The 10,857-nt window shown below is 44.8% G+C and overlaps 1 annotated feature.

Annotated features, from left to right (window-relative positions):
• Nucleotides 9,555-10,204: an enhancer, noted in NCBI's record as "NANOG-H3K27ac-H3K4me1 hESC enhancer chr7:26302097-26302746 (GRCh37/hg19 assembly coordinates)". NCBI's record gives its function as "activates a minimal SCP1, AML or CMV promoter by ChIP-STARR-seq in naive H9 embryonic stem cells {active_cell/tissue: H9 hESC(naive)}" and the evidence as "EXISTENCE:reporter gene assay evidence [ECO:0000049][PMID:30033119]".

Consider the following 10,857-nt stretch of genomic DNA (forward strand, 5'->3'; position numbering starts at 1 on the left):
AAGCGGAGGTTGTGGTGAGCCAAGAGCACGCCATTGCACTCCAGCCTGGGCAACAAGAGCGAAACTCCATCTCAAAAAAAAAAAAAAAAAAAAAAAAAAGCATTTGTGTGTGTATGTGTCTTGAGAGAGAGATAGAATAATAAGACAAATGTGATAGAACGTCAATAATTGGGTCATCTGAATGAAAATTTTATGGGAGTTCTTTGTAGTGTACTTGTAAGTTTTCTATAAGCTGAAATTATTTAAAAATAAAAAATTAAGATAATGTTTAAAAATAAATCACCATGCCTACAAGAAAATTTTTCTAACCTTTCAAGGAACAGATAATTCCAATTTAATACAAGGCTTCCAAAGGATATAAAAAGAAGAAACAGTCCTCAATTTAGTCTATGAGGCTAGTGTGATCTTGATACCTAAACTAGATATGGATAATATAAAAAATGAAAATTACAGACTAATCCCACTCGTAAACATAGGTGTGAAACTAAACAAAATATTAGTTTTTGTTTAGTTTCAAAACTGAATGCAACAAAACATAGAAAAGATACTACAACTTAAGTTCACTTTATCCCTGAAATATATTTCATCTAACACTAAAAATTTTTGTAAATGTAATTTATTACATTAATAGATTAAAGAAAAAAACACATTCTCAATAGTTGTAGGAAAAGCGTTTATGGAAAAACCCTTAGCAAACCAAGACTAGAGAGCAATTCTTGTTAGCCAAATAAAGACTATCTACAAAAACCTATAGTAAACATCATTCTTAGTAAAACTTTAGAAACTTTCTCTTTAAAAACCAGGATCAAGAAGAGGATGCTCACTGTTCTCATTTCTAGAGCTTGTAACCAATGCAGTAAGACAAGAAAGGGAGGGAGGAAGGAAAGGAGAGGAGAAGGAGAAAAGGGAGGTGGGCAGGTATTAGGAGTGAAAAGGAAGAAACAAAACTGGTTTTATTCAGAGATGATATAAATGTTTACATAGAAAACTCAAAATCCTTTAGACAAATTATTATAGTTAATAAGCTTAGTAAGATAGCTGGATATAAAGTCAATACACAAAATTCAATTACATTTTAGATTCATCAGCCTCAAAGAAAATATAATATCCCAAATGATATCAGTAACAAGAGCAAAATAGAGAACCTACTAATAAATTTAATAAAAGATGTGCAAGAAATTAAAGGAGACCTAAATAAATGCAGAGTAAGTCATGAGCCAGGTTCCTGGATAGGGAGATATAATCTCTAAAAATATGGTTTAAGAGCATAAACTTGATGGTTGACAAGTTATTTATCTGACTTATCTGCAAAATGGAGGTAATAATAGCACTTACCTCACAGGGCTGTTATGAGTATTACAAGATAATGCATACAAGAGGGATTAGAACGATGCCTGCCATGTAGGAAAGTTGTCTTGCACCATGCAGTGATCTTGAAATCAGAAGCCACACACAGCAGAGCAAAAAAATAAAATCCTGGTTCCCTGAACAACACTGCAGTGACCACCTCTCAGTTTTTATGTGAGAGTGAAATACACTTTTTTTTTTTCAAGACAGGGTCTTTCTCTGTTGCCCAGACTAGAGCGCAGTGGTATGATCACGGCAGTCTGAAACTCCTTGGCTCAAGGGATCCTCCCACCTAAGCCTCCCAAGTAGCTGGGACTACACGCATGCACCATGCTCCCTGGCTAAATTTTGTATTTTCTCGTAGCGACGGAGTCTCCTTATGTTGCCTGGTCTTGAGCTCCTGGGCTCCAGTGATCTTCTCGCCTTGGCCTCCCAAAATGCTGGGATTATAGGCATAAGCCACCACGCCCAGCCCGGCCCAAATGCTTTTTTTTTTTTTCTTTGGAGATGGAGTCATGCTTTGTTGCCCAGGCTGGAGTGCAGTGGCACAATCTTGGACAGAGATTGCAACCTCCACCCCCGGGTTCAAGCAATTCTCCCACCTCAGCCTCCCCAGTAGCTGGGATTACAGGCACCCGCCACTATGCCTGGCTAATTTTTGTATTTTTAATAGAGACAGTGTTTCAACATGTTGGCCAGGCTGGTCTCGAACTCCTGACCTCAAGTGATCCGCCTGCCTTGGCCTGCTAAAGTGCTGGGATTACAGGCGTGAGCCACCACACCTGGCCTCCAAATGCATTCTTTTTTTTTTTTTTTGAGACGGACTCTCATTCTGTCACCCAGGCTGGAGTGCAATGGCGTAGTGCCAGCTCACTGCAACCTCTGCCTCCTGGGTTCAAGCTATTCTCCTCCCTCAGCCTCCCGAGTAGCTGGGACCACAGGCGTGTGCCACCCCACCCAGCTCATTTTTGTATTTTTAGTAGAGATGGGGTTTCACTATGTTGGCCAGGCCGGTCTCAAACTCCTGACCTTGTGATCCTCACACCTTGGCCTCCCAAAGTGCTGGGATTACAGGCATGAGCCACCGTGCCTGGCCCCAAATGCATTCTTAAGGGTCATACTTCCTCTTAATGTTTCACACCTAGCTTAATCTCAATGGAGGGTTTTGGAAGCCAAAGCTAGGAGATGCAATATTTCTGATTTTTGCTTGAATGGGAGAAAAAGGAAGGGGAGAAAAAGACAAAGGGGAAGGAAAAAAGAATATGAATTGATCCTTTAAAAAATTACCCTGTCACAGTAGTTCATTCCGCCTCGAACTTAGAGTGGGGAGGCAAGTTCCTGCCTCTAAATGAATTCACCAGCCCCAGCTCTCACTTTGGTGGGTGGTCCTTCTCGACGAAAAGAGTCAAACTCTGTAAAATATTTTAAGAGATTTATTCTGAGTCAAATATGAATGGCACGGCCCGTGACACAGTCCTTAAGAGGTCCTGAGAACATGTTCCCAACGTGGTCGGGCACAGCTTGGTTTTATACATTTCAAGGAGGCATGAGACATCAATCAAATACTCAAGAAATACATTGGTTTTGTTCACAAAGGCGGGACAATTCAAAGCAGGGGGCTTCCAGGCTATAGCTAAATTTAAACATTTTTCTGGTTGACAATTGCTTGAGTTTGTCTAAAGACCTGGGATTGATAGAAAGGAATGTTCAGGTTAAGATATTGTGGAGACCAAGTTTTATTGTGCAGAGGAAGCTCTCAGATAGCAGACTTCAGAGAGAGAGCAGGTTGTAAATTGTTTCTTTTTTTTTTCTGAGACGGAGTCTCGCTCTGTCACCCAGGCTGGAGTGCAGTGGTGCCATCTTGGCTCACTGAAACCTCCGCCTCCCGGGTTCAAGCAATTCTCCTGTCTCAGCCTCCCGAGTAGCTGGGATTACAGGTGCACACTGCCATGCCCGGCTAAATTAGTGTCTGATTTGGCAATCTGGCAGGGACCCACAGTGCTACAAAGGCTTGTTCCTAGAGTTCTCTGATTTGATGGTAATAGTTTTAAATATTAGTGATTTGGATCATGGTGGGAGGATATGGCCTAACCCGATGTAATAGCCAATTGTTTAAGGGGTGAGATGGAGTCAGGCTTAGGGTTTAGTCTAAAAAAATTCTGGATCAGATCTATTTTCTAAGCGATCATGATTCAGGTCTTTAAATTTGCCTTTTCCTTCCGCTGTATCTGCCATAACATTTACAAGAAATGTCTAATGTTAATACAGTAACAAATATCATAAAGATAGTGAAGGTTTGGACATTCAAGGTTATAGGTAGAATCAGAGGGCAGTAAACAATCCAGTCAGCCAGAAGAAAACCCCTGTGCATCATCATATTCTTTGATCAGACTCACAATGTGTTTATTGTCCTTATCAAGGATTATTTGGACCTTGTGATAAATCTTACTTGAAAATCGTGGGACCAAAATTAAATTATAATTTAATAAGTTTAATCTCTCTTCCGGCCAATTTATCTCCATAGGTATAGCATCCTGAGGAGGGTATAAATTAAATGCAAAAAATGCCTGGTCCTTAGTGTCTAAATTGTTACAGACTTGTTAACAGTAGACAAATCTCTTTTTCCCACCACTTTTGTATTGCACCATATACTGGTATTTGGGAGAGAAAAGGTTTTGTCATAGGAGAAGTCACATAATTCCACAGTGTCAGTTTTTCCTCTGCAGGATTCCCTATGGCCGAGGGCTTTAAGAGTCAAAAGACTTAAAAAAAAAAAAAAAAAAAAAGAGTCAGAAGTCTTACAGCCAATTAATTGTTCCAGGCCAGATAGGAATGAATGTGGACAGGCATTCATTACTTCCTAATATTATTTTAAGTTAAAAAATCACAGTACTTTGGGAGGCCGAGGTGGGTGGATCACGAGGTCAGGAGTTTGAGACCAGCCTGGCCAAGATGGTGAAACCCCGACTCTATTAAAAATACAAAAATTAGGCCGGGTGCAGTGGCTCATGCCTATAATCCCAGCATTTTGGGAGGCCAAGGCGGGCGGATCACAAGGTCAGGAGATCGAGACCATTCTGGCTAACACGGTGAAACCCTGTCTCTACTAAAAGTACAAAAAATTAGCTGGGCATGGTGGCAGGCGCCTGTAGTCCCAGCTACTTGGGAGGCTGAGGCAGGAGAATGGCGTGAACCCAGGTGAGCTTGCAGTGAGTCGAAATCGTGCCACTGCACTCCAGCCTGGGTGACAGAGCGAGACTCCATCTCAAAAAAAAAAAAAAAAAAAAAATTTGGCAGGTGCGGTAGCAGGTGCCTGTAATCCCAGCTACTCGGGAGGCCGAGGCAGGAGAATCACTTGAACCCAGGAGGTGGAGGTTGCAGTGAGCTGAGATTGCGCCATTGCACTCCAGCCTGGGTGACAGAACGAGACCCCATCCCCCTCCCAAAAAGAAAGAAAAAGCCATCAATAAAACCAAAATGCAAAGTTAGAAGACTAACTTATTTTTAATTTCTATGTGTTGAGCTACTGTAAGCTTGGTTTCTGTTACAGACTTACAGCAACTAGCAATACAAAACATAAGCATTGTTCTGAAAAATTATTAAAAATGTGTATATATGTATAGATATATTTATCTTCACAACTTATAATTGGGAGTATTATGACCAGGAGGCTTTGTTAAAAGGTATTTTACCCCATTAATAAATATATTTTTAAAATTTTATAGTAAGCAGAAAATTTTTGTGTGGTAGGGGTGTATGCAAAAGTGACACATAACAGTTTAGAAGGCAACTAAACTTGTTTTACCAGCTGTTTAGGCATTTTTTGTACCCCCTTCTTAATTTGGAAGTTTGATCTTCTCCTAATTTTATCCCTCAAAACTGGCTCTTAAATCTTATGTGCCCACGTCTTCCGCGATAGTCCTGGGCCTAGAGGGAGGCAGCTTGTATAGTTTTAGCAGTGGAGAATTGGGAGCGAAACAGATCGGGGTCCAGTGGGATGCCAAATGGGGGAGACTCATATCTCTGGTCTTCAGAATACCATGATTTTGGTTTCCTTGGAAGTAAAACAAGGAGAGATAAATAACATTTATAGTTTTGACAGTTATGAGAGTAATTCGCATGTTAAAACAGAAAAAGGAACCTATTCCATTAGGGAACCAACTAAAAATCTGAAGAAAAAATTATAATTTGGTACTTTCTAAAGATTTATTGTATCCAAGAAATAATGATTTAACCTACACTTAAAAAGTTAGGGCTGAAATCTAGTATTAAGTATTACACTTTTCCCTTAAAACAATTAACTATTATTGAACTCATGCAGACAACTATACTGTTATAAAATTACAATCTGAATTTTGGAGAACTCAGAAAGGTAAATTTGCTTACCTAAACATACTTTACCCAAATAACTTAAAAGGAAAAGATGTTCCTGACCCTCCTTTAACTAGAGCATCAGCTTTTAAAACAAGATGTTTGTTTACCTTGGAAATGCCATTTTCAAACAAACACAGGAGCTATTTGGCACTATAGAATTTATCAGCTTCTCACAATTAGTCCTTAGGACAAAGGCTCTTGGCTTATTAGGTAGCAAAATTTCACGTAAACCATTTTTATTTATCATGGAACTTGTTGGGAAACATTACTTCTATTAGTACAGGGGCAGCTTCAGTTAATACTCCATAGCAAGGCAGCAAATGCCCCATCAAGTAGAACTTCTCTAGCTCAGTTGTTGTTATTGAAAAGTACTCACAGTTTTTGCCATGAGTCCTAATAAATGCTCCACACAAAAGGTTATGCAGTGGAGAATTTACACAAGCAGATTTACATGTCTTCAGTTTTGTTTGTTTGTTTGTTTTTTGAGACAGAGTCTCGCTCTGTCGCCCAGGCTAGAGTGCAGTGGTGCAATCTCGGCTCACTGCAACTTCCACCTCCCAGGTTCAAACGATTCTCCTGCCTCAGCCTCTCAGTAGCTGGGATTAACAGGTGCATGCCGCCATGCCTGGCTAATTTTTTGTATTTTTAGTAGAGACAGGGTTTCGCCGTGTTTACCAAGATGGTATCTATCTCCTGACCTTGTGATCCGCCCGCCTCAGCCTCCCAAAGCGCTGGGATTACAGGCGTGAGCCACCGCGCCTGGCTGTCTTCAGTTTTATAATACTAGAAAGGAGAACATCCCTCAGTTATGTATAGCACCCACTTTCATAAGACATTTAGGTAAAAGAGGTTACAACTACCTTACATAAAGCTTGTTTAAACATCTTACATCTTACATTTTATAATTCCATTAACCTGTATGTGTTTATGTTCTGGTCCCAGGAAGCCTTTTTTAATCCCCAGACCATCTTACCTTTTCTGGTGAAAAGGGTTTGGTTTCCCAGCAGGGAGTTGCATCTGTAAGACCTATGAGGGCAGCAGATTTGATAAGGCAAACAGACCTATAATTCTGTGGGAGGGGCACCATGAAAAAGGGCTCCTTAACCTCCAAATTTACCATGACCTGGGTGATAGACATATTAGGTGGGAGGATATCAGAGCTATCATAAAGCTAGTCCAACAAAGCTTGCATAAGAAACATATTAGCTGCTTCATCTGGGGTACTTCGCTTGGTATTTTATTAGGGAGAGTTAGGCAGTCCCCTTCTCAGGGCAAAACAGACCTTATCATGGCATAATCTCACCCACTAGGCTGATTGCTTTTTCAGGAATAACTCCCTGTGCATTTGGATCACAAATACTCAGTGATTGTTCAGTAATGAGCTGTGGGTTCTGCATTAATCCAAACAAGCTCTTAAATTCTGCAGCATTTAAAATTAAGAATTTTGTGGCCTGGCGGGGTGGCTCACACCTGTAATCCCAGCACTTTGGGAGGCCGAGGCAGGCAGACCATGAGGTCAGGAGTTCCAGACCAGCCTAGCCGACATGGTGAAACCCCATCTCTACTAAAAATACAAAAATTAGCCGGGGATGGTGGTGCATGCCTGTAATCCCAGCTACTCCGGAGCCTGAGGCAGTAGACTCGCTTGAACCTGGGAGGCGGAGGTTGCAGTGAGCCAAGATTGTGCCATTGCATTCCAGCCTGGGCGACAAGAGCAAGACTCCGTCTCAGAATAAACAAATAAATAAATAACATAACATAAAAGTAAGAATTTTGTCCCTAAAGTCTTTTAATTTTTTTTTTAAGACAGAGTCTTGCTCTGTTGTCCAGGCTGGAGTGCAGTGGCATGATCTCGGCTCACTGCAAGCTCTGCCTCCCGGGTTCACGCCATTCTCCTGCCCCAGCCTCCCGAGTAGCTGGGACTACAGGTGCCTGCCACCACGCCCGGCTAATTTTTTTTTTGGTATTTTTAGTAGAGATGGGGTTTCACCGTGTTAGCCAGGATGGTCTTGATCTCCTGACCTCATGATACACCCGCCTCGGCCTCCCAAAGTGCTGGGATTACAGCCGTGAGCCACCGTGCCCGGCCTTATTTATTTTTTTTTTAAATGGAGTCTCACTCTTTTACTGTGTCTATAGAGTAGCCATTCTTTTACTTCTTTACTTTCTTTTTTTTTTTTGAAATGGAGTCTCACTCTGTCACCCCAGGCTGGAGTGCAGTGGTACGATCTCAGCTCACTGCAACCTCCGTCTCCCGGGTTCAAGCGATTCTCATGTTTCAGCCCCCTGAGTAGCCGGGACTACAAGCATGCGACACTACACCTGGCTAATTTTTGTATTTTTTAGTAAAGATGTAGTTTCACCATGTTGGCCAGGCTGGTCTGGAACTCCTGACCTCAAGTGATCCACCAGCCTCAGCCTCCCAAAGTGCCGGACTTACAGGTGTGAACCACCACGCTCAGCTAAAAGCTAGTTTGTTGACTTTTTTTTAAGTCAAGATATTTCTTGCACATCTGAGTTTAGAGAGTGACATTAACATGGGTTACTTATAAATAAAGATCAGAGAAGTTAAATAACAAGTCCAGCTCCCTCTCCCTCTCCCTCTCCCTCTCCCCCTCCCCTTTCCACGGTCTCCCCTCTCCCTCTTTCCACGGTCTCCCTCTGATGCCGAGCCGAAGCTGGACTGTACTGCTGCCATCTCGGCTCACTGCAGCCTCCCTGCCTGATTATCCTGCCTCAGCCTGCCCAGTGCCTGCGATTGCAGGCGCGCACTGCTACGCCTGACTGGTTTTCGTATTTTTTTGGTGGAGACGGGGTTTCGCTGTGTTGGCCGGGCCGGTCTCCAGCTCCTAACCGCGAGTGATCCGCCAGCCTCGGCCTCCCGAGGTGCCGGGATTGCAGACGGAGTCTTGTTCACTCAGTGCTCAATGGTGCCCAGGCTGGAGTGCAGTGGCGTGATCTCCACTCGCTACAAACTCCACCTCCCAGCCGCCTGCCTTGGCCTCCCAAAGTGCCGAGATTGCAGCCTCTGCCCGGCCGCCACCCCGTCTGGGAAGTGAGGAGCGTCTCTGCCTGGCCACCCATCGTCTGGGATGTGAGGAGCCCCTCTGCCTGGCTGCCCAGTCTGGAAAGTGAGGAGCATCTCTGCCCGGCCGCCATCCCATCTAGGAAGTGAGGAGCGCCTCTTCCCGGCCGCCATCACATCTAGGAAGTGAGGAGCGTCTCTGCCCGGCCGCCCATCTTCTGAGATGTGGGGAGCGCCTCTGCCCCGCCGCCCCGTCTGGGATGTGAGGAGCACCTCTGCCCGGCTGCGACCCCGTCTGGGAGGGGAAGAGCGTCTCTACCCGGCCGCCCCATCTGAGAAGTGAGGAGACCCTCTGACTGGCAACTGACCCGTCTGAGAAGTGAGGAGCCCCTCCGCCCACAGCCGCCCCGTCTGAGAAGTGAGGAGCCTCCCCGCCCGGCAGCCGCCCCTACTGGGAAGTGAGGAGCCCCTCTGCCCGGCCAGCCGCCCCGTCCGGGAGGGAGGTGGGGGGGTCAGCCCCCTGCCGGGCCAGCCGCCCCGTCCGGGAGGTGAGGGGCGCCTCTGCCTGGCCGTCCCTACTGGGAAGTGAGGAGCCCCTCTGCCCGGCCAGCCGCCCCGTCTGGGAGGGAGGTGGGGGGGTCAGCCCCCCACCCGGCCAGCCGCCCCGTCCGGGAGGGAGGTGGGGGGGTCAGCCCCTGCCCGGCCAGCCGCCCCGTCCGGAGGGAGGTGGGGGGGTCAGCCCCTGCCCGGCCAGCCGCCCCGTCCGGGAGGTGAGGGGCGCCTCTGCCCGGCCGCCCCTACTGGGAAGTGAGGATCCCCTCTGCCCGGCCACCACCCCGTCTGGGAGGTGTACCCAACAGCTCATTGAGAACGGGCCAGGATGACAATGGCGGTTTTGTGGAATAGAAAGGGGGGAAAGGTGGGGAAAAGATTGAGAAATCGGATGGTTGCCGTGTCTGTGTAGAAAGAAGTAGACATGGGAGACTTTTCATTTTGTTCTGTACTAAGAAAAATTCTTCTGCCTTGGGATCCTGTTGATCTGTGACCTTACCCCCAACCCTGTGCTCTCTGAAACATGTGCTGTGTCCACTCAGGGTTAAATGGATTAAGGGCGGTGCAAGATGTGCTTTGTTAAACAGATGCCTGAAGGCAGCATGCTCGTTAAGAGTCATCACCACTCCCTAATCTCAAGTACCCAGGGACACAAACACAGCGGAAGGCCGCAGGGTCCTCTGCCTAGGAAAACCAGAGACCTTTGTTCACTTGTTGATCTGCTGACCTTCCCTCCACTATTGTCCTATGACCGTGCCAAATCCCCCTCTGCGAGAAACACCCAAGAATGATCAATAAAAAATAAAAAAAATAAAAAAATAAAAAAAAAAAACAAGTCCAAGCTACACAGCTAACGGGGAGCAGAGATGAAAATTGAATATACTTTTGCTTCTACCACCCAGGCTTTTCCCATTCTAACTTGCTACCTCTTAAGCATTATGAGAATAATCTCCTTCTTCTCTGAAATTACTGCCAATTCACTATGAGCACCTGACAGAGGAAATAAATAAATAAATAAAATTACTGTCAAACCACTTACAGTTAACCACAACCATCAATTTTGCCTTCTAAATACTTGTTAAAACTTTCAGTGTTCTTCATACTCAATGCCAACACCCTAGGCCAGTTATCCTCATCTCTCACTCAAATATTTGTTATCGCTCTCTAGTCTCCTTGTATTCATTCTTCTAAATCTTATTCAAAGCTGAGTGCAGTGGCTCAGTGTAATCCCAGCACTTTGGGAGGTTGAGGCAGGAGGATTGGTTGAGCCCAGGAGTCAGGACTAGTCTGGGCAATATAGGGAGACCCTGTAACAACTACTCTTCTGAGTGATCTTCTCAAAATGGAAATCTGATCACATTCCTGTTCTATCTAAAACTCCTTACTGGCTTCATGATGTTCTAGGATTTAGTCCAAAATCCCTAACCTGGCTATAACTCCTTGTGAACATTTTTGCAGCTTCATTTCTTATAACTACCTTTGCAATTTTATCTCCAGTGGTCCTCCCGGGCACTGTGCTTCAGCCACAGGGCCTCTGAACATGTGATTCCAAATGCCAG

Source organism: Homo sapiens, chromosome 7, assembly GCF_000001405.40.
Source record: "Homo sapiens chromosome 7, GRCh38.p14 Primary Assembly".
NCBI classification, from domain to species: Eukaryota; Metazoa; Chordata; class Mammalia; order Primates; family Hominidae; genus Homo; species Homo sapiens.